At 48.7% G+C, this 23,835-nt stretch overlaps 1 protein-coding gene across 9 annotated transcripts in view, besides 3 other annotated features; it reads left to right on the top strand.

The window, feature by feature from the left end:
* Positions 7,896-8,195: a silencer, noted in NCBI's record as "silent region_20167". NCBI's record gives its function as "represses an Ori minimal core promoter by ATAC-STARR-seq in GM12878 lymphoblastoid cells {active_cell/tissue: GM12878}" and the evidence as "EXISTENCE:reporter gene assay evidence [ECO:0000049][PMID:35858748]".
* EPB41L4B (erythrocyte membrane protein band 4.1 like 4B) overlaps positions 8,021-23,835 on the top strand; it is a 149,086-nt gene continuing 133,271 nt past the window's right edge. For 8 of the 9 annotated variants that reach the window (XM_017014815.2, XM_017014814.2, NM_019114.5 and 5 more), the window contains exon 1: positions 8,021-8,939. In XM_017014815.2, coding sequence (XP_016870304.1) covers positions 8,634-8,939 — 306 coding nt within the window. In that variant the 5' untranslated portion in view covers positions 8,021-8,633. The remainder of the gene's footprint in view (positions 8,940-23,835) is intronic. The other variant, NM_018424.3, reaches the window with a different exon arrangement.
* Positions 8,551-8,660: a silencer, noted in NCBI's record as "silent region_20166". NCBI's record gives its function as "represses an Ori minimal core promoter by ATAC-STARR-seq in GM12878 lymphoblastoid cells {active_cell/tissue: GM12878}" and the evidence as "EXISTENCE:reporter gene assay evidence [ECO:0000049][PMID:35858748]".
* Positions 16,988-17,127: a silencer, noted in NCBI's record as "silent region_20165". NCBI's record gives its function as "represses an Ori minimal core promoter by ATAC-STARR-seq in GM12878 lymphoblastoid cells {active_cell/tissue: GM12878}" and the evidence as "EXISTENCE:reporter gene assay evidence [ECO:0000049][PMID:35858748]".

Below are 23,835 nucleotides of genomic sequence, written 5' to 3'. Positions count from 1 at the left end.
AATCACCAGTTAAAAGAAAAGGAAAGGAAGAAAATGCCATGTATTCCTTCTCCATAAACCTCCTCTTTGTTCTCTGCTGCTCTTCATCCCTTTGGTCTCTCCCTCTCCACAGGCTTCTTCCTTTTTTTTTTTTTGCTCTTCATATACATCAGCCTCCTCAATATTAAAATAAGAACCATGCCCCAGCTGGGTGAGGTGGTTCACGTCTGGAATACCAGCATTTTGGGAGGTTGAGGCGGGTGGATCACTTGAGGTCAGGAGTTCAAGACCAGCCAGGCCAGCATAGTGAAACCCTGTCTCTACTAAAAATACAAAAATATTAGTCAGGGTGGTGGCACATGCCTGTAGTCCCAGCTACTCAGCTATTCGGGAGGCTGAGGCAGAAGAGTCGTTTGAGTCTAGGAGGTGGTGGAGGTTGCGGTGAGCCGAGATCAAGCCACTGCACTCCAGCCTGGGCGACAGAGTGACACTCTGTCTCAAAAAAGAAAAAAAAAAAAAAAGGAACCATGCCCCTAAAACCTTTAATCTCCTTGCCCCATGTTTCCTCCTTCTTCCATTCTTACATTGTTATACGATTTTACAGTTTCTAAAGTTTTTTACGCTTGTTTTGTCATATAGTGAATGTCATATAGTAATGAAATTTTGAGGTGAGCAGTATTTGCCCATTTTACAGATGAGAAAAGTGAATATCAGATTAGAATTCAGCAGAAGTCCCGTAGCTTTTTGGTTTTTTTTTTTAAGTTATTTTTATTTATTTGAGACCCATGCTAAGGGTCTCACTGTGTTGCCTAGACAGGTCTTGAACTCCTGGGTTCAAGTGATCCTCCTGCTTTGCCCTCCCAAGTAGCTGGCATTACAGGCAGGAGCGACAGTGCATCCCCATGTTCTTTCTTTCGCTGCCTCCTTTTGATGCTAACTTTCTTTTCTTTCTTTCTTTCTTTTTTTTTTTTAAAGACAAAGTCTTGCTCTGTTGCCCAGGCTGGAGTGCAGTGGTGTCATCATAGCTCACTGCAGCCTCAACTTCCTGGGGTCAAGCAGTCCTCCCACCTCAGCCTCCTGAGTAGCTGGGACTACAGGCACATGCCACCATGCCAGGTTAATTTAAAAATTTTTCTGTAGAGACAGGATCTTGCTATGTTGCCCAGGCTAGGCTTGAACTCCTGGGCTCAAGCAACCCTCCTGCCTTAGCCTCCCAAAGTAGTGGGATTACAGGCATGAACGACTACACCTGGCCTGACGCTAAACTTCTAAAATGATGGTCAGGATCTACCATCTGTATTGCCCTGCGTCTATTTTCTCTTAAGCCCATATAAGTCCATTCCTTCCTTGTACCACTGTACCCTCCTCAAGATCACCAGGATCACTAGCTTCAGGCCAGCTGGCTCACTTCAGAGGCCCTTCACGGCTCTCACTCCTATCAACACTTCACTGGCATGGCTCTGATTCTACTCAAGACATTCTTCTCCAAATTTTCTTTCCTTAGCTTGAACCAGGACTTGAAGTTTCCCAAAGGAGAAGGAGGATATGGGGAGGGTTCCTTTTGTGTCTGTGGTTCCTGTATCTTGGTTGTGTAATGTTAACATAGGTGAGTCACGGGACCCCTACTTTGGAATGCCGCTTCCATGGTGAGCTCTGAGTTGCAGCAGGATTTCAACAGCACATTCCACCACCAGCAGCAGCCCAGCTGCCAAGGGCTTTCCCTGAAAGAACAATTTACCTTGGTTTTGACCAACTTGGCAGGAGCTGGGTTTTTGATTTGATGGCAAAAAGGATTGGAGGTGTCATAGCTTGTGAATTGGCCAGGCATGGGAAAGTTAATGTCAGCAGTCTAGGACAGGGAAAAAGGGGTTACCAGTTGGAACTAGACTTTCCCAAGGGGATTGGACAGGGGCAAGGGAGATGAACCCAATTATACGTGATGGGGTGGGGGTGATGTGGAGTCCTGCATTGTGCAGTACGGTAGCCACTAGTTACATGAGATTATTTAAATTTACTTTTTGTGAATTTAAATTTAAATTTAAGTGAAATCAAATTAAATATTTAGTTCTTCAGTCTCACTAGCCATCTTTCAAGTACGCAATGGTCCCATGTGGCTAGTGGCTGCTGTATTGGATACAGCAGATGTAAAATGTTGCCATCATTGCAGGAAGTTCTATAGGACAGGACCGATTTTAGTCCATCAAACAGAGAAGAACAAAGGTAAAGCAGTTGGCTAAGAGATTGTAAGGGACAGGCAAGCACATCAGGGATGTCCAGGAAGAGGGAGCATGGCATGGGCAACCCAAGGGTAAGTAACAATGGAGATGGAAGGGGCAGGGTGGGTAGGTGCTATAATAAGTACCCCCCTTCCACTCTCTGTGTGCATCTTCCATATGGATATTAGGATTATTTTATCAGAGCCACATGTGTTTCCCAAACCAGGATGCACATCCTCTGGGGAAGAAATGGGTCCTCAGATAGGAACCCAGGCTAAGGCTGCCATCAGGTAAGGAGGGGACCCTCCTGTTTCTCTCCAGATACTGATCTCTTGGGGTTTCGATGGAAGGCTAGATAGTAGATGTTTGGAATGGAAAACTAGGGATTAGATGTTGAGGAGGAAGTCAGAAATACCATCTGGAGCAGAGGGAAAGGATTAGCTAAGAATGTAAATTTGGGACTCAGTTGTAGTCACCAAAGAGTCCTTCCATGTTTGCCACTTCTGGATCTAAAAGCTTAGATGACTCATTAACTGTCCATTTATTTCTGTACAATTCAGTGATAAGCATTGCATTCTAATTATTTGCCTGGAGATGAGTCCTTTAAATAATAAACAAAGTGAGCACCTATTCAAAATAATGTTTATGTCCTGTGCTCAAGAAAGAGAACAAGAGAACAAAGAGAAGATCTGGGACCTGAAAAACCATTCTAATTCTCTTTAAGTTGTAAATTCCAGGAGCTAGGTCTGGCTTCAGGCATGGCTGAATCCAGGTAGTCAAAATCAAATTGCCCTCTGTGTCTCTCCATCTCTTGACTCTGCCTCTGTTTGTGTTGGTGTCTTCCTCAGGCTTTCTCCAAATTATGTCAAAGTGGGTCTTCAGCAGGCAGTTCCAGGCCTGCACACTTCTCATTCTCCAATTCCAATGGAAAGAAATGGCCCATTCCCAGTAATTTCAGCCAGAGTTAAAGGGCTGACCTTCATTGGCCTGGCATGGGTTATGGTCCATTCTTGAGCCGGTAGCAGGTCTTTAGGAAATGCAATTCTCTGATTGGCCAGGCCTGATCCTGTGTCCACACCTGCAGCACAGTGTGGGGTCAGCTTCACCTAGACTGTTAGGCCTAGGTGAAATGGCTCCACAAAGTAACCCATGCTCTGTAACCAAAAGAAAGAAAATGGATGCTAGCCTGGCAGAAACCACAGCTGCCTACTATATGGTCTTTAATTAATGATAGCTATTATTACTGTGAAATGATAGAGGAAAGGTTAAGCTGACATTAAACACCTGTGGCAGTAGGGATGGCTTTGTGGCACATAGTAAGTTCTCAATAAATGTTTATTAAAAGAATACATTTATAAGGGAGTGAATAGGAACATACATTAAAGTGTAATCCTGCTCTATGGGAAAAAAAATGGAGCCCAACAAAATGAGGGCACAATTTTGTTGAGTCTAGGAAATGAGCCAGGAAACAAAGGATAGAGACAAATGGCACATTTCTGAGAGGAGTTCCTTAAAGACAGGGCTGAGGGCTGTTTAATTAACATGCAAAATTACTCTGGAGGAAGGGAGTGCATAAGGAACTCTCCAAGGTTTGTTGATGACACAAAACTGAGTAGTGATGGGAAGGATAATGGAAAGTTCTCCTGGAGGAAGTAGGCAAAGAGGTGGTAGTTGAGCTTTAACAAGAAGGCAAGAAGGTGACTCTAGAGACAAATTCCAAAAGATGCCTATGAGACTAAGGAAGTCAAGCTACTGCTTATGACCAAGAAAAGGATCTAGAAATTAGTGTAGACTGTTTCCTGAGAACTTCAGTCCAAGACAGTTTCAGACAGAAAGGCATGAGAAATCCTGGGTGTCTTATTCCTTCAGGCTATTCTAACAGAATACCATGAACTTGTATTATAAACAACAGAAATGTATTTCTTATAGTTCTGGAGGCTGGGAAGTCCAACACCAAGTTGCTGACAGATTCAGAGCCTGGTGAGGGCCTGTTTCCTGGTTCATAGATGGCACCTTCTCACTGTGTCCTCACATGGTGCAAGTGGCAAGGAGTCCCTGGGGTCTCTCTCTCTCTCTTTCTTTTCTTTTTTAAGATTACTCAAGTGCAGCAGTGAGACGGGGAGAAAGAGTCGAACAGGAATTTGATCTGTAACTGACTATGAACACTCAACTGAGATAACTCTCTACCTTCGGACTAGCCTCTGGGGTCTCTTATTTTTTAAAATCTTTTCAGAGATGAGGTCTCATTATGTCATCCAGGTTAGGCCCCAACTCCTGAGCTCAAGCTGTCCTCCCCACCGGCCTCCCAAAGTGCTGGGATTACAGGCATCAGCCACTGCGCTAGGCTTGGGGTCTCTTTTATAAGGGCACAAATTCCATTCATAAGGGCTCTGTCTTCATGACCTAATAAACCTCCACCTCCTACTCCTTGGGGGTTGGGATTTCAGCATATGCATTTTTGGGGGATACAAACATTCAGACCATAGCACTGGGGGTTATGAATAACCATTTGAAGATCAAAAGGCCCATAAAAGAGCAATGCATTGATAAACAGAAGATATGTACAGCTCTGGCCCATTCACACTGGGCATAAAAGAGGTCCAAGCAAGAGCAATTAAAATCTTTGAAGGGCTGGTTATAGAGTTCAGATAACAAGAATAGGGAATTTTCGGTTCGAAAGACAAAGATTAAGAAAGAGCAAGCATTGAATCACATAATACTGTGAACAGACAAAATGCAAACTTACTCATCAAATATTGAAATTCTAAGGTTGAAACTTGACATAAAATGTAGTCAAAGGAATGCCTGAGCCTTGGCTTTTCCTGTGTGGTGGAAAGAATAGTGCTTAAATCACTATTGTGATAAGGACGGAATGAGATCCATGAGGTGACAGTGCCTGACACATAGGAGGTAGAGGTAAAACTAAAGCAATCTGGAGTTCCCGTGTGATTCATGATGACATAGTATTGCCAGTGCTACTATGTAAGAGCCTCCATTCCAGTCTTCATTTTCCCTGTCTCTAAAAGGCAATAACAATATCTACCCCACAGGGCTGTTATGAAGATGAGGTGAGATCTTGCATTCATTCAACAAACGTTTATTGACTGCCTACTACTTATCAGACAGCAGGCTAGGTGCTGGCTGGGGATATAATGATGAATAAGAGAACGTCCTCCAGCATGGGCAACGTGGTGAAACCCCATCTCTACAAAAAATTAGCCGGGTGCGATAGCGAGAATCTGTGGTCCCATTTACTTCGGAGGCTGAGGTGGAGGATTGACTGAGTCTGGAAGATTGAGGCTGCAGTAAGCCGTGATTGCACCTCCGTGCTCCAGCCTGGGGGACAGAGCAAGACCCTGTCTTGAAAGAAAGAAAGGAAGGAAGGGAGGGAGGGAGGGAGGGAGGGAGACAAAAAACTCCTATCTTCATGTAGCTTAGGTCTAGTGGGAGAGAATGATCATGGATAAATCACAAAACTGAATGGGAGTAGAGGGCTTTGAAAACCATAATGCACCAAAGTAATATATTATTTATCTTTTGTGAAACAGAGTCTCACTCTGTCACCCTAGCTGGAGTGCAGTGGCATTACCTTGGTGCAATGCAGTGCACTGCAACTTCAAACTTCTGGGCGCAATCAATCCTCCTGCCTCAGCCTCCCAAGCAGCTGGAAACACAGGCATGTGCCACCACGTGTGGCTAATTAATTTTTTTTTTTTTTTTGTAGAGATAGGGTTTCACCTTGTTGCCCAGGCTGCTCTCGAACTCCTGGGCTCAAGTGATCCTCTCACCTCGGCCTCCCACAGTGCTGGGATTACGGGTGTGAGCCACCACACCCAGCCATATTATTAATAGTGCACTCATATTAGTTTCCTGTTGCTGCTGGAATAAGTTACCACAAACTTAGTGGTTTAGAACAACACAAATGTATTATTTCACAATTCTGGAGGTTTCATGGGCTAAAATCAAGGCTGCATTCCTTCTGGAATCTCTAGGGGTCAATTTGTTCCTTATCTTTTCTAGCTTCTTTCAGCTACCCAGGTTCCTTATATCCTGGTTCCATTATGCTGACTTCTGCTGCCATTGTTGTGACACCTTCTCTGACTCTGACCCTCCCGCTTCCCTCTTATAAGGACCCTTGCGATTACGTTGGATTAATACAAGATAATCGCCCTACTTCAAACTCCTTAACTTAATCACATCTGCAAAGTCTTTTTGGCCACATAAAGGGACATATTCACGGATTCTAGCAATTGGTCTGCGGACATCTTTGGGTGGCTATTAGTCAGTGTGCCACAGCACTCCTGGGCTATATAGTAGGAAATGGACTATCCTTAGAAACCAGTAAGCAGAATTGGACTACCTTTGAACATCTGCTTGTGGCTGTGTTCTATTAAATACAGTCTGGGGTGGAGCGGTGGGAGAGGAGTAGATTGGGTACCTGAAGGCCGATTACAGATGCCCTCTCAGAGAACACTGTCACATGGGAGACCTCCATAGTATCATAAAAAGAACATTAGACAATGAGTGAGGGTACTGGCTGCTGCCACTCAGGAGCTCTGAGACCTCGGACAAGGATATTACTTCTCTTAAGACCCGAACTGCAGTCCTATGTGACTTGGGGGTTACATAGAATACCTGGAAAGATTGGAGTGTGGACTAATGAAAATTCCATCCATGAAATCACCTCAGACAGCGCCTGATCCTTAATAAATGTCTGTTTTAGAATGCCTCATAAATGCACTCCTTCCTCTTTGTCTTTTTTGCTGTGTCCACTGCGTTTTCCAGGCCTCTCAGACATCTTCACCTGCCTGCCAGTCATGCACACACCTCTGCCTGGCAGCAGAGGTAGTGGTTAGCAGCCAACAGCTTTGGAGCTGGGTGAAAGAGCTGGTCTTAACCATGGAATCTGGAGCCCGTCTCTTAAGCTCTCTAAGCTTCAGTTTCCTCCTCTGTACAATGGGGATAAGAACGTCTATCTAACCAGGCTGTTGTGGGGATTGAGATGATGAATGGAAAGGGCTTAGCACGGTGTTTGGCACAAGATTAAGGGAATGATAAATAGTAGTGTTATTCTTCCCAAGAGGCCTGACCTCCTTTCAGCTTCATCCTCTTCCACATTCCTCATTTAGCAGCACTGGTCAACCCTCTTCACTCGAAGCGGACCTTGAACTTGTATACTGGAGGGCCACTGCTTAGAAACAATTCCGTCTCTCTCCAATATTCTCAGTGTGTCCTACACTATTCATTCTCAGAGCCTCAGATCTACTCTGCTTCTCAGTAATTTTCAACTTCACTAGCCTTCTCTGTTATTTATCCAGGCCTTTATCTCAATACTGGACCTGAGATCTTGAGGAAAGGTGTTTTCTTGCGTAGCATATTGGAAAAATACTTCCTCTCCTCGCCGGGCCTCAAGTTCCTTATGTGGAATGAGTCCACTGGACTGGAATGACTAAAAAAGTCCTTCCAGCTCTGAGATCTTAAATTGACAGAACTTAAGTAGCAAGGACCTTGTAGATTACCGTGTTGATTACCTAGTCCACCCCTCTCCTTTTCCAGAAGAGGAAACAGTGCTATTTTTTCATGGGGGAAAACGTAGTGCTATTCTGCCTGGTCTCCGGGGCAACGCTTCCCAGAGGGCACGCGGCCTTGTTTTCCTATCGGTGCAAAGGGGCACTCGGCGCCTCCAGGGCTCTGGGCGCCGGAAACACGTGTGTGCTCACCTACGTGTACACACGTGAGCACACCTACAGCAGCAGGGGGCGCTCGGGCCGGCAGGGGGCAGCACAGACCCGGCTTGCAATTACCCGGCGCAGCCCCGAGGGAGGAGGGCGTGCTGCAGTCCCGGCGGCAGCGGCGGCGGCGGCGGCGGCGGCGGCTGGAGGTGCAGCCTCCCAGGTGGGAGGCGGGGGCTGCGGGCGCAGGAAAAGGCGCCTTGGGAGCGGGCGCTCGGCGGGGCCTCCTCGGGCCCCGGGCGCGGCGCGGCGAGTGGGAGCGAGCGCGCCAGGACCACGCAGGCGCCCTGCTCCGGCTGGCCCTCGGCCGGCGCGCGGCGCGGGAGCAGCCCGCAGCCCGCCTCCCGCGCCCCCGGCAGCCCCCTGGCAGCCCGCAGCCGCCCGTCCGGAGCAGCCCCTCGGCAGCCCGCGCAGGCCGCCGGCCCGGGAGAGCGCGCGGCGGCGGCGGCGGCGGGACGGCCCCGAGCGCGCCCTCCCGCCTGCGGCCACTCGCAGCCGGCGCTGGCCGGGCCGGCGCGCCCCGCAGGCGGCTAGAGCGCGGCCTCGGCCTCGGCGCGGGCTTGCCCCGGGCCGTAGCCCGCGAGAGGCGGCGCGGGCGGCCGAGGGCACTGACGGCGTCGCGGGACGCTCCCGGGCGGCGGCGCAGCGGCAGCGGCAGCGGCAGCGGCAGCGCAGGGGGCGGAGGCAGGGGGCGCCCCCAGCCAGGATGCTGCGGTTCCTGCGCCGGACCTTTGGCCGCCGCTCCATGCAGCGCTACGCGCGGGGCGCGGCGGGGCGCGGGGCCGCCGGGCTGGGGGACGAGCGCGATGGGGGGCCACGGGGGGGCCCGGCCGCCGCCGCCTCCTCCTCGGCGCTGCCCGCCGCGCCCGGGGGCAGCGTGTTCCCGGCGGGCGGCGGGCCCCTGCTCACCGGCGGCGCGGCCGTGCACATCTCCGCCGCCGGCGCCGCCAAGGCCACCCTCTACTGCCGCGTCTTCCTGCTCGACGGGACCGAAGTGAGCGTGGACCTGCCGGTGAGTGACGGGGCCAGTCTGGGGCACTGGCACCTCGCGCCCCTGGAGGCAGCTCCCCCTCCCCCAGTGCTTGCATCGGGGGCGCTTCCCTTGCACCTCCCTGGGGATCCCCTCCCCCATCCTCTTCTCCGAGCACTCCTCAACCCTTTTTCTTCTTGGGCCACCCCGTCCCGGTCTCTTCCGGGGCCCCACCTTTGGCCCGTGCCCCCTCCTTGGCACATTGCGCCGCGGGGTTGCGATTTCTCTGGCGCCCACCTAGTCCTTGGGGCCTCGCCCCCTCCCCAGTACACACGGTCCCCAAGTCCCGAGACCCCGCCCCCCCTGGTGTGGGTGGCCGGCGCTCCCCTTCCGTCCCTAGCTTCCAGCAGGGGTCTTCCTGATACTGGGTTATTGGGTAGAAAATCTCAAATCAATGTGAGGCCGTCCTGGGGTGTCCAGCTTGTCCCCCCTCAAACTCGCCATCAGGCCTTGATGAGACAGCAGAGAGGAGATCCCCTCGCTTGCTGCTCGGCAGGCGCCCCAAGTTTGGGAGGCGGGGGTTAGACCATTTCTGCTCTCTGCTGATCCCTTCTGGATACACCCCATTCCCATTCCCTGAGCCCCATCTGCCCCGCAGCCTCCTCGCAGCGGGTAGGGTGACTTGGGAGCTAACTCTAGAGTCGGCTGTCTCAGACCTGCCTGCCTTGCACCGGCAGAGCCCTTTGCTGGGGCGCTGGGAGTCGACCCCGGGGTGCCCGGGGGGCCAGGCGCGCCTGACTTTCTCCCTTGGGCACCGTGCGTGGGGTCGGCGGGGCACCTCAGGGCGGCGGCGCCTGGGCCTGCGTCCCGGGCACCCGCCCACAGGTGGTTGCACCCCCGCCCCGCGCCAGCTGAGAGCTGGGCCGGCGCTGCGGTCCGCTGCAGGGCGTCCAGTTACCAGTGAGTCTTCCTGGCTGAAGGGGCCAGATCAGATCAAATCAAACCACACATTAATCGGGCGCCCACTGTGCACCCGGCGCTGCGGCAGACGGTGCCTTCGGGAATTTCTGGGTGTGACTGAGGACACAGCGGTAATTGAGCTTTAGATGAATGTTACAGATCATCTCGAGGATGTCAAGGGAAGAAATAACATACCCGGACTTCCAAGGAAGTATATAGGCCTTCCCGGGTGGGAGAAATGTTTGGACTTCATGAGAGAACTAGGAACATGTGAAAAGGGTCTCAGATGGGAAAATCAGAGCCTGCCTGGCTTGGAGTTTAACGCTTCCCGGTGTAGGCTGAATTTCGAGACAGTTTCAATTTATGGCAATTTTATTTTTGTGGTTCTTTGTGCTCTCCATAAGATATCATTTTGCTATGAAAATACCCTTTTGGGGCCTTTTTATTGATGGAAAAGGAGCCAACATTCGGGTGCTTAGAGCTGTTGCCTTTAAAATAGCATAAAAATGTTACTGTTCCCCAACAATGAGGCTCTCCAGCTTTTTATTCAGCTGGGAGAGGAGGCCTGAGGAGCCGGGGAGGAGGAGAGGGGAGCAGGCTGCCTCTGGAGTGGGCAGCTTGTGTTAGGAGAGGATGTGGCGTAGTTTGCATCTCGGATCTGGGAAAGGAATGCTATCCTTGGGAAGTTTGACAGTGCTCCTTGCCGGTGGTTTTCTCATCTGTTCCCTGGGGATGATTCGTTTATAAAATGTATTGCTTGTCAGCTCCATGAGACAGGCTTAAGTGGTGTGCATGGTGAATAGACCCAAACAGGTACACAAACGAACAGGTTGGGACAGGAAGGCTGACTGATTCCAGCCAGTGTAGCCCTCACTGGAGCCTGGTGGGGGAAGGGGATATTTGCATCCTAAAAGGTTTCTTCACTTTATAAAAGGCTGCTTGACAAAAGAATTCCCCTGTCCCAGGTATTCCCAGGACGGCAAATTTCTTGATTCCTCTATGATGTGACTTAGTGAAGCCCACATTGTATTTATGCGCGTGCACACACACACACACACACACACACACACACGTATATGCCCCCTGTCCACAGGCAGATAAAAAGCAAATGCTGGCTTGTGTCACGTGAGCTCTCAGGGAGGAAAGATGAAGAAAAATCGCCAGTGGGCACAGCTCATCGATTTAAAGATTTATTAGATATTAGGACTGCATCACAGTCTCCTACACTAATCTTCCCAGATCTGAGTGTGTGCTCCTGTAATTAATTCTGAGTTACGAGGTTAACGCCAGGCGGCCAGCTCCCCAATGCATTTGTAGCATTTGCTGCTCCTCAGACCCACTTCACTGGGCTCACTCTTTATGCTGTCCTTTTTGACATTTGGCCCTGCTTGTCATTATTCTCTTTTGTGTTCCTGGATTTTTACCGCTTCCTGGGCCCTGGTGTTGCCTTGCTGCTTGTCGCAAGATAGGATTTACCTTTGACCGTGATACCCCAAGCTGGCTTCTCAGGCACCCAGGGACATTGCCAGGCTAAATGTCTCCTTTGTAATAAAAACCCTCAGGCGGCGTTAGCCTTGAGAATTCCTTTGCTCAACCTCCTAAAAGTTGGCTATGTGCTGTCATAAACCTTTTTATTAGCCCTAGTTAGGATGCTTGTGTTCTGAAATTGTCTGGAACACAATAACACCCTCAGTGTGACCGTGCTGTGGCACCTCAGTCCAGTCCAGACCACAGTTATTGGGCGTCTCCAATGTGCCAAGCTGTGTGCTGCAGACACAAAGGTGAATGAGATGTGGCCTGGAGGCTCTTGGGAAACGCAGGTGAAAACACGTTTCTTTTATTCTGGGTGATGCTAAGTGATATGACTGGCACACCCAGACAGGGTGCTGTGGCCGGATGGGATGGGGGAATCGGAAGGACTTCCAGGAGACTTTGACACTTGAGATTATGGGGTCTCAGATCCAGTGTCCCTTGGCAAAGCCACAGGCCAGTTGTTGTATATAATAAAGAGAAAAGTAGCTGCAATTGTTTCTTCTGACAGGGCTTGGAGCCCCCTTCTCTGGTGATAGGTTGAGTCACCTAGCATCCCTGAGTGTTCTTTTTTTTGTTTTGTTTTTTGGATATGGGGTCTCATCTGTCACCCAGGCTGGAGTGCAGTAGTACGACCACAGCTCACTACGGTCTTAATCTCCTAGCCGCAAGCAATCCTCCCACCTCAGCCTCTCTAGTAGCTGGGACTGCGGTTGTGCACCACTACACCCGGCTAATTAAAAAAATTATTTTTATAGACATGGGGTCTCACTGTATTGCCCTGGCTGGTCTCAAACGTGTAGGCTCAAGCGATCCTCCTGCCTCAGCCCCTAACAGTGTTGGGATTACAGGCATGAGCCACTGCGCTTGGCCCCTGGGTGTTCTTAGTCTTTGCTATGGATAGTCAGCAGCTTTCCAGTCTTTGATAAAATAAAATGTGAATAAAAGGATCTTTTTAAAAAAATCTATAACATGCAGTCTAAAGTGGACTTGCTGTACAAACCCAACTTCCAGATGAGCCCTTGCTCGCCCTACCAACCAGAGTGCCAGCCTGAGCCAGTCCTCTTCAGAAACCCTGGCCCTGCCTTCGACAGCACCTCCCTCTCCTTAGCCTAGCTCAGCCCTGCCCAACCCTCAGGTGTGGTCTGGTCAGAGCAGGGCAGGACTCCCTCCCTCGGCCTGCCCTAGACGCTTTCCTTCTATTAATGCAGCTGAAGATCCCATTAGTGTGCTTGGCAGCGGCACCCACTGTTGACTCATATTAGCTCTCTGTTGACTAAATCCCTGGCATCGCTTTTGCTCGTGTGGCTGTTGCTCAGCCCCGCCTCCCGTTGCCCTGTGTGCTCAGTGTGGAAAGCTGTTAGGATGTGCGGTCGGCCAGTTAGCACTCCCGCCATGCTTTGGAGGGAACGGCCCATGGGCCATTGTTGCATTTGGTGCACTTGCCTCCCCTGCATCTGGAACTCAACATTGACTCATTGTGGTCCAGTGTAAACATGGAGGATTTCAGAATTCGAAGATCTACCTTTGCATATTGCACCCTGGCTCTGCAGCTTTGGGCAATTGCAGCTCTCTGAGCCATTGACTTCCTGATCTTTCAAATGGGGATGTTGGGAGGATTTGGTGACGGGAAGGCCTCATGGTGCAACAGAGTGCTGAAAGGTTGCTAGTAGGTTGTAATCTTAGAAACCTCTCCTTCCTCTACTTTGAACTTTGGAAAGATTTGAAGAAGTTTCTAGTAATAGACATTAAAAAAAAAAATGCTGTGCCAGGCAGGCTAACCATTGCTTGGCTCTTCTTTAGTGGAAATTGGAAGTTGGATGTAGTATGAGAAATGCTTTTTAAAAGTTTCACTTTGGATGTGAAAAGTGATGTTTTTTTCAGCAAAAACAGGAGAATCCAGGTTTTTAGAATTTTAGGACTGAAACCTCTGATCTCACATAACATACATGATACAACATAAAGGTCATATGGCTTATTTTGGAGTTGAAGGGGACCCTGGACAGCACCTCCCCGGCCCATTGGAGAAACTGGGAAGCTGTGGTCTGTGGCTATAAAGTGACTTCCCTTCAGTCAGTCAGTGAAAGAGTTGGAACCGGCTGCTTTGGGAACCCTGATTGTCAGCGTCTGAAGGTGTCAAGCGTAGGGTCAGCAGTGGGAGGGAAGACTAACCCCACGTCCTAACACAGGATCATGGAAGAGGGATGGGGTACATTCCTGGCAGTTGGAAATAGAACAGATTTTCCCAAACAGTGGAAAAAATGATCCCAACTTCAGTGTTCACAAAGTTCATCTGGGATTTTTTTTCTTCCATTAAAATTCCCAGAGCACACCCCGAGAATTTCTTGATTCAGTATATCAGGAAGCTCAACTTTTAACAAGTTACTCCAGGTGATTCTGATGCAGGTGGTCTCTTCACAGCCAGTGAAAAACCCTGGCCCTAGAACTGTGAGAACAGAGGCAGCTACACCATGCATTATAAACTGCTGTAGCAATGGGGCGAGCAATACCATTGCTGTAGCAATGGTAGGGGGGTTGGCAGTCTTTGAGCTGGGGTTTGACCTGTACTTTAGGGAGCCCATTTTTGTCACAGTGGAGTGGAGGGCTAGGGGAGGGACTGGAGACCAGTCATGCCATTGCATTTGTCAGGTAAGGGGTGATGAGGGCCTGGCTAGGAGAAGGGGGCAACGGTAGAGCAGCTCACAGGTGGAGTTGGGTGAGTGTGTTGGGGAGGGTGAAGGTTTGAGATAGAGCTGTCTTCACTCTTGGTTGGGAAGAATTAAGGGACCCGCAGGAGGTTGAAGACAGCTTCTCATTTCTACCCTTTCCCAAGGCTCTGGCTGCCATGGGCACACTGGCTTATCCCAGGGCTCTGGGTGGCTTGCTTTTTTTGCCCCTGTAGGGTAGGTATTGGCTAAAGGTGGCCTTCCACTACTTGCCCCACCCACATCCCCTCTCAGACCTGGAATGAGGCCTTGGATATCTAGTGGGTCATGAGTTTGTGTTATTTTTGGATATGCCTTCTTTGTTTTAAAAGAAAGGCTGAGGTGGGGGGGGGTGAGAGAGGGGTAATGAACACCCTTCCCAAAGGGGGTGTCGTGATACAAGCAAGAGCACTAACTCCCCTTCTATACTTGCTGGATTTGTCAGTGTTAATAAGGGGCGGGGGTTGGCCTGCAGGGGGAAGGGGCCGCAGCCTAGCCTCTCCAGTGCCGGTAACATGACCCTACACTGGTACAGGGCTCTGAACAAATATTAACTTGCTAAGCACTTTCACGTGCATAATCTCATTGAATTCTGTTCCTAGTACCCTGCAGTGGATGAAGGCACAGGTCTGTTTCGTTTTGAAATAGCAGAAGGTCGATGGGGGTGGGGCCTTCCCTTAAATTCTTGCGTGGGGACTTAGAAAAAAATCCAGCCTGGCAACCACAGAAATCCTCCGCCTACCATTTGTCCTCAAAACACGTGTTCCATCCTTGCCCACTGCTTGACTTCCTTTGGCCGGCTGGGAGTGGGCTCCTCCCCGGGCCTCTCTCTGCCCTGCCTGGAGCCTTCTCCTCCAGTGGGAACTGCACTCCAGTTTCCACCTGTAGCCCGTGGCTGCTGCCTGAGGGCAGGGTCAGCTGCTGATTCATCTGGGTGTGTTTTCCAGGTTCGTGTGTGTGCTCTCCTTTCATTTCTCGTTTACAATGCATTCATCGAAGACCCATTTGAAAATACACAAAGGTTGGAACAACATCTACAGTTTCATTAAACACTGTTAAAATAGGGGTGCGCATTCATCTGTGCTTTATTTCATATTCAGATATAAACATGTTTTTAAAATGATGAACTTAAGTGGGTTGATGGAAGTCTCTGTCTACTCCCACCTCAGCACAGTTGAATAAGGATGGTCGACTTGGAGCTTGTATCTCTTTAGGGTGAGGCCCTCGGCTCTCCTCTCTACATTTCCTGGGACTCTTAGCTGGGGTGGGGAGCCCCCAGTGCTTGTTAGCCATCTGCGCTGTGTGCTGCCTGCTGCCCCTCCCTTGGTAGGAAGCAAGCTGCCTGGCACTCTGACCCTCCTCACCACAATTACTTTCTCTTGCTGGCAGGTTAAAGGTCTTGTTGATGTGACCTCAGAGTCCCCTTGCATCTGAAAGCAGCTGCTATGGGGCAGTCTCGACTCTCGCCAGCCCAGGATGCCTGTGACTCTGCTACCAGCCAGAGCTGACCTGGCAGAGTGGGGCTGGAGCCGGGCAGCATCCTGGTGTGCCCCCCCACCACCCTAATCCCTCTAATCTCACTCCTTCTGCAGCCTCTGTGGCCTCTCTCTAGAGCTAGATTAATTTTACTAGTCCCACCTGATTTTAATTTCTGGTTTATTTTAAATTGTTTTCCAAAATGTTTTTGTTTGCTCACAATATGTTTTCTTCAGTCAGCAAAGGCTTACTGAGCCCTTACACTACATTAAGCATGGGGGAGGGGTATCGGAGAGAGAAGAGTGTTTCTTAAGCTCCCAGTCTTGAGGGGCAGACAGAGTAAACAGATACCCATAAACCAACATGGGGTGGTGCCGGGGGTGAGCAACTGAAGTGTGGGCTGGAGTTGGAGAAGGTTTTTTTTTCTTTTTTTGGTAACATTGGGGTCTCACTATATTGCCCAGGCTGGCCTGGAACTTCTGCCCTCAGGAGATCCTCCCACTGCGGCCTCCCAAAGCTCTGGGATTACACGTGTGAGCCACCACACCCGGGCAGCTGGAGAAGGTTTGGTCCCCAGAGTGACAATGGAATTGCCCCAAAGGATGTGTAGGAGTTCAGCTGTGTCTGGGTGGAGGGAACAGCAGGTGGAAACGCGTGGAAGATGGGGGTCAGAAAAGCCCCATCCCTGGGCTCCGGGTTCCTTGGGGTAGGGGATTCAGATGAGTTCTGGCTGTATGCCTGGATCTTAAAGGAGTGAGTGAGTGAGTTGCCTTTGAAATGAAGATGATGTCGGGACCCCATCTAGGTGATTATCTTGTTGAATCCTCACAAAAACTGTGTTGATGGTTACTGTTGTTATTCCTGATTTGTAGAGGAAAGAATCAGGGTTTAGCAGACAGGTTAAGAAACTTGTCCAAGGTCACATAGCTAGTAAAGGCAGACTCTAGCTTGATTTGTGGTCTGGGAAGGTCTCTGACAGCACAGCTGGGCGAGGGGGGTGGGAGGGCTCTGAGCTTGCCCCAGAGGTTCCGAGCTGGATGGCGACCCCTGAGCCCCCAAAGGGCTTCCACCTTTGTAGGCCACTTGGGATCAGATTTACTTCTTTAGTTAGACTCATTGAATGTCATTTCACTCGAGTGCATAATGGTTTGATGGCCATAATTCAACACTCAGATCAGAAGTAGGTGATGTTTTTAAAAAGTGCTTAGTAGAACAACATTAAAATTATCTCAAAGAAAAACATTTTCATATTCCTATCCTGCTGCATAGCAACTGGTTGGTTTCACTTTGTTCCTTTCCATCTTTGTGCTTTTGTATACATGTTTATAAGCGTGGTGTATATCCTTTAAAACATTTTTTTCTTTTCTCCTCCCCATCCACATTTCTTGACAGGCTTCTCACCAGTTTGGTGCCCTCTTTTGTGTGTATTCTAGAATACTTAAATTCAACTCTTATTCTCTGCTGTGTGTGATGTGGTTTGAGTGAGTAATACCTGTCTCTGGGGGCTTGGAGGTTGATATGCAAAGCACCTGATCACTTACGCGTCAGGCAGCCCCATCTCCAAGGCATGCAGAATCTGTGTTGCTTCCCTTAATCACTGCCGCCTGGGAAGGTGCACGTTATCATCCCCTTTGCAGATGGTCTCGGAGAGCAGATGGCCTCGGGCCACTCTGCTGGTAAGTATGGGAGAGCCAGATTGAATTTAGGTTTCCGGACTCATTTTCCAGTGCTCTTCCCCTCAGCCCATGCTGTGCACACCCAGCCTTCCTGTGTTAAATGTGTGTTCTCTTAGAACTCCCTGGGAAGGTCAGAATTTCATGCAGTAAAATCCCCTGTCTTTTCTGAACCACTTTGCCTTTCAGCATCTCTGGCATTTGGATTCTGTCTACCATTTCTCAGCATTTTTTGCAGGTTCTTTTCCCCAAAGTCATAGCTGGCTGAGTGCCCAGCATTTTCTTCATGAAGCCAAGAACTGGAAGATGATATCCCAAGGGTCCTGTCCCACCTGTGGGATCATCCGGTGCTTCTTTGTTACCCAGCTCAGTCCCCCCGGGTGGAATGGTCTACCCTGCAGCTGTGAGGATGCCAACTGCCTGGTTCAGCGGGTGCCTGCAGAGCTGGCATCCCTCAGCTCTGTGGTTTCTTTTCCATGCCTGTCTCATGAGCTGAGTGTTGTCTGCAGCATAGCATTCGCTCAGGTGCGTTGAAGTCAGCCTGATAATGCATCTCCTTTGCTCTACCTGTTCACTTGCTGAGCTGCACCTACCCTGAATTATGAATTTTTTTGAAAATCATGGTATTAATATAAATAACATAAAATTTACTATTTTAACCGTGTTTAAGTGTATGCAGTTAAGTGGCATGATGTACATTCACACTGTTTTGCAACCTTCACCACCATTGGTCTCCAGACGTTTTTCATCTTCCCAAACTGAAACTCAGTCCCCATTAAACATTAACTCCCTATTTTCACTCCCCCCAAACCCCGGGCAACCACCATTCTACTTTTTTGTCTATGAATTTAGCTACTCTAGGTACCCCATATAAGTGGAATCCTACAGTATTTGTCCATTTGTGCTGGCGTATTTCACTTAGCCTAGTATTCTCAAGGTTCATCCATGTTGTATGTAGCAGGTGCCAGAACTTCATTCCTTTCTAACGCTGAGTAATGTTCTCTTGTAAGAGTATACCACGTACAGTTTATCCATTCATGGATTGTGGATGTTTATGCAGGTCTGGACCGTCTTAACTCGGTCCTACCCATTCACTTGTGGCACTGCCACCAGAGACTTGGATGTCCCCAGCCCTCACCTCGTGGTGTTATTCTTGGATTCTGACACCTCTTCCCTGGGACTCTTCTGCATCATGCTGATCATCTTCCAAGGCTGTCTGGGCTTCGTTTGGGGGTGTGTGGCAGGCAAGTTTTCTCCCCCTTACATTTTTGTCTGAGTTGCGCAGTGTTGGCAAGCCCTCTGTCCAGCACATTCTTTAGATTTTTAAATGATGAAATATAAATACAAAAGACTCTCTATAACATGAATAGTTTTAGAGAAATAACACAATGAACATCCTTGTGCCCACCACCGAGCTTAGGAACAAAGACCATCACCAATGCTGTGAAAGTCCCCACATGCTCTGTCTCAGTCACATTCCCCTCCCTCCCTCCCTCCTGAAGTTTGTCTTTCATCCCTTTCTTTTCTTTATAGGTTCTCTGCATGTGTACGTTTTCCTAAACAATATCATGTTAGTTTTGCAGGTTTGTGAGCTGTATATACATGAATTTTTCCTTCAATATTGTGTCTGTGAGAATTTGTGTCAGTGAGATGACTGGAGTTCTTACTGTTTTGTAGTTATTCCATTGCATGCATATACTGGAATTGATCCTGTGTGGACATTTGGGATGTTTTCACTTTGGAACTATTAGGGAAAAAAAACACCGCTTTGAACTTTCTGGAATTGGTCTCTGGTGTACATGTGCCAGGAAGCATCTATCCTGGGTGTGTACCTGGGAGGAAGAGTGGGCGGGGCCCTTTATAATCATACAAAATTGTTTTCCAGAGTCCCCACAGCATGTAAAAGCTTCCCTAATCCATTCTTCTCCAACACTTGGCATTGTCAGCTTCTTTGTTTGATTTTACCAGGATAGTGGGAGTTAGTGGCACCTTTGTAGTCTCTACCTTCCCCCAGTTGTTGATGGGGTTGAGTACCTTTCACCTATCCATCTCTCTCTCTCTCTCTCTCTCTCTCTCTCTCTCTGTGTGTGTATTTCTTAATAATAGAGATGGGATCTGGTTGTGTTGCCTAGGCCATTCTCAGACTCCTGGCCTCAAGCAATTCTCCCATCTCAGCCTCCCAAAGTGCTGGCATTATAGGCATGAGCTGCTGCATCTGGCCAGGGTTGAGTGTCTTTCATATGTTGTTAGCAATGTGTAGTTCTTCCTGGAATGTTTTGTTTTATGATTTTCACATGTGTTTTTAGGTGGAGTTGTATTTTTCTCACTGGCCTCTGGACTCCATGAGATTGTCTCCCGTATCCCGTTCCGCTTCTGAGGTCACCTCGGTGGAATAAGGGAGCGAACACTGTAAGCCCCAAGTTGACAAGCTTCCCTGGCAGGTCTTTCCTCACTAAGTAGGAATTAATGTTTTGATTTCACTTTTCACTGTGAATGAGCTGAAGTTGGTTGCTGCTGGTGGCTTTTTGTGAGAGCAACTACGGGATCTATAGTATTCACATCAGCTCTGCCCACTCTTTTTGAAGTTTTTATTATGGAATTTTCTAAGCATATTCCAGAGTAGCGAGAACTATATATGGACCCTAAGTAGTCATCTTCATTTCCGTACTTATCAGTTTGTGGCCACTCTCCTTTTATACCCCTCCCTACTGCCCTTTCCTGATTATTTTAAACAAATTCTAAACATGTAATTTTTTTTTTTTAAAAGACGGAATCTCGCTTCGTCACCTAGGCTGGAGTGCAGTGCGTGATCTTGGTTCCCTGCAACCTCTGGCTCCAGGATTCAAGTGATTCTCCTGCCTCAGCTTCCTGAATAGCTGGGATTACAGGCATGCGCCACCACGCGCTAATTTTTTGTATTTTTAGTAGAGACAGGGTTTCACCATGTTGGCCAGGCTGGTCTTGATATCCTGACTTCAAGCGATCCGCCTGCCTCAGCCTCCCAAAGTGCTGAGATTACAGGCATGAGTCTCCGTGCCTGGCCTAAACATTTAATTTCAAACATGTATTTCAGTAGGTATCTCTAAAAGATAAGGACCAGTTTTAAAAAAATAGAGTTGATTGTGATAGCACACACCTGTAATCCCAGCGACTTGGGAGGCTGAGATGGGAGGATCACTTGAGTCCAGGAATCCGAGGCCAGCCTGGGCAACATCACAAGACTTCATCAAGACTTCTAAAAATAATGAACAATTATTTTTTAGTGTCAGATATTCGGCCAATGTTCAAATTTTCTTCTGTGGTTTTCAGCAAGGTTCTTTCATTGCATTTGATAGATATTCTATCTAAGACTCTTAACCTAAAAACCTTCTCTTCACCTTTTTGAGCCATTTATCTGTTGGAGAAGTGAGGCCGTTTGTCCTATTACAGTTTGTTACTTTCCGAGTTTTGTTGATTGCATCCTCAACATTGGTCACCCCTGAGGTACAGTTAGTACCGGGAATGGTCTTATTTCAAGCATCTGATCAGAGCACACAGAGATCAGTAAGATCCTTATCCTCAAGAAGGCTGAGTGGAGATCAGCTGTTGAATGTCTTCCTCGAGTGTGGGTTCTTCCTCCCTCTAGCTCACTCCTGCTTGGGTCCCCTTCACATACTCGGGAGGCCCTCCATGAACCCATTCTGTCTCTCCTGGCTGGAGATGCCAGCAGACATTTTAGGGAATGCAGAATCAATGAGAAGGGAATTGGGCCGAGTGTGGGACAGCTTGAACCAGTGGGGTTCGCCTCTGAGGGAACCGTTGGAGAACACCTGGTCCAAAATCTCATTCTGGAGGCGGCGAAAGGCCTTTCCCATCTGCCTTGGAAGGCTGCTCACTCCAGTCTGCTGCTGCTCACCGTGGCAAATGAGCAGTAACAAGGGTGTAACAAGTGTAGCTTCCTGCACGTAGCCCCCCAGCGCTTATGAGCGACATCCAGCGAGCCTCTTTGCCCCTCTGAGACTCTGCCATCTCTTCTGAAAGCGACCAGGGTTCTCAACCCTGGCACATGAGAGCTGGGGCTTTCTCCAGCTCTCCTGCCCATGTGATGGATGTGGGCATCATCCAGGGAAGGCCGGTAGACTGTAAAAGCCTACCGGGGTTAGTTATTAACCTGCAGCGCACTCTTGACAGCCCATTCCATGGCATTTCACCGACTGGAGTCCTTTTATTGCTCTTGCCTGCTGGGGCCTGAGACCCAAGGCCCATATCACCTCTGCTCAGTCGGTTACAATCTGTATTGAGTGGCATCAGCACTGCTTTGATGGTAGCAAGAATGGCTGGTTAAAGTCCAGGGAGGGGCCCAAGCTGGCTTGGAACTGGCCCAGGTCATGCACACAGCCAGCAGTGACACATCCAATGGGACACTCCAGGATGAAACCTGAGAAAGGAGGTCTGGGATATGGGATATTGTAATGGGAGAGCAGGAAATTTAAGGTCGGAGGTATTTGTTTAGGATACCTCAGTATTCTAGAGCTATGGGATTTATTTTGCTTTGAAGTCCAGAGGTATTTAGCTTTATTCTAAAAGCGATGAAGTTCCTCTTAATTAAAGACGCTCCTGGAAAAAAAAAAAGGAAAAATTTAATGCTGTCTTTTAAAAGGGAAAGGATTGTATGTACTATAATAGAATTACTGTAACATGTCGTTTATTAACTCGCTTCAGGGAATGAGCTCTTCCACATAGGTAAGTTTTCCAGATAGTTACAGTTGCATCCATTTACTGACAAGAACTGTTTTATTTCAGCTATTTCATTTATTTCTTGAAGAAAAAAAAAAAAAAAAAAACAACTGCAGCACATCTAGTGTCTGTAAGGCCCTGTGGGAGGAATACAAAATGGTCAAATGTATGGGCGTTGCTCTAAAGGAGCTCATTTAGGGTGGGGTGTGGATGTTAACTGCATTACCTTGACTTTGCCTTGGTGGCCCCCAGTGGATTCTTGGGTCAGCTCTGTATAGTGTTCCAGCCTTCAAAGCATTGCTTTACTCTGCCTTTTCGAAGGCTGGCTGATTAATAAGTTAATACAACAGTGGTTTTTGATGTTTACTGCATGCTTAGAATCTTCTGGGGAGTTTTTCAAAGTCCAGCTTCTAAGCTATACCCCAGACTACTGCCACCAAGATTGATGGGCTTGGGAGGTGGGACCCCTTCACCAGAATGTTTTTTTGTTTGTTTGTTTGTTTGTTTGTTTGTTTTTTTGCTCGCTCTGTTGCCCAGGCTGGAGTGCAGTGGCACGATCTTGGCTCACTGCAACCTCCGCCTCCCAGGTTCAAGCTATCCTCCTGCCTCAGCTCCCCCGTAGCTGGGATTACAGGCGCCTACCACCATGCCTGGCTAATTTTTGTATTTTTAATAGAGACGGGGTTTTGCCATATTGGGCAGGCTGGTCTCAAACTCCTGACCTCAGGTGATCCATCCCCACCTCGGCCTCCCAAAGTGCTGGGGTTACAGGCGTGAGCCACCACGCCTGGCCCAGAATGTTTTAAAACTCCCCAGGTGATTCTGAGGTGCAGTCAGGTTTGAGAAACAATGTTTTACAGGGCTCCTTCCCTTCCTTTTGTGTGGTGTTGTAGGTTTAGATCAGGCTTTCACCTTTGATCATTTCATTTAATCCTTATAGCATTTACTCGAGAGAATTTTGGGTGTTCTAATTTTATAGAAAGCTCACCAGTAAGATTTTGGCCCCATATCCCACAGCTAGTAAATACAAAACTAGACTTAAAAGTCATTTCCAGGCTGTTCAAGTCCACTTCTCCAGTTTTTCTTCACGGCTGTCACTCTAGTGGCTCTCTGGCAGCTCCCCAGTGTCCCCTTCACTTCTCACCTGTGTATCTGTACCTGTGCCTTATTTTTTTAATTTAATTTAATTATATTTTTTTGAGACAGAGTCTCGCTCTGCCACCCAGGCTGGACTGCAGTGGCGCGATCTCGACTCACTGCAAGCTCTACCTCCCGCATTCAAGCGATTCTGCTGCCTCAGCCTCCCAAGTAGCTGGAATTATAGGCACTGGGTCACCATGCCCAGCTAATTTTTGTATTTTTAGTAAAGACGGGGTTTCACCATGTTGACCAGGCTGGTCTTGAACTCCCGACCTCAGGTGATCCGCCCACCGCAGCCTCCCAAAGTGCTAGGATTACAGGTGTGAACCACCACGCCTGGCCTTTTATTTTTATTTTGATTTTTTGAGACAGAGTCTCCCTCTTTCGCCCAGGATGGAGTGCAGTGGCGCAGTCTCCACTTACTGCAACCTCCTCCTCCTGGGTTCAAGTGATTCTCCTGCCTCAGCCTCCCGAGTAGTTGGGATTACAGGCACCCGCCACCACACCCAGCTAATTTTGTATTTTTAGTAGAGACCGGGTTTCACCATGTGAGCCAGGCTGGTCTTGAACTCCTGACCACAAGTGATCCACCCGCTTTGGCCTCCCAAAGTGCTGGGATTACAGGCCTGGGCCACCTCATCCGGCCTGTGCTGCCTTCGTATTGGCTGATTCTTATCCCTTAAGGGCCTAGCCATCTTTCAGGGCCTGTCTCAGATGATGCCACATTTATGAAGCTTA

The sequence above is a fragment of the Homo sapiens genome, chromosome 9, assembly GCF_000001405.40.
Source record: "Homo sapiens chromosome 9, GRCh38.p14 Primary Assembly".
NCBI lineage: Eukaryota > Metazoa > Chordata > Mammalia > Primates > Hominidae > Homo > Homo sapiens.
The sequence above is the reverse complement of the archived record's forward strand: the minus strand, read 5'-3'. Positions and strand labels throughout refer to the sequence as shown.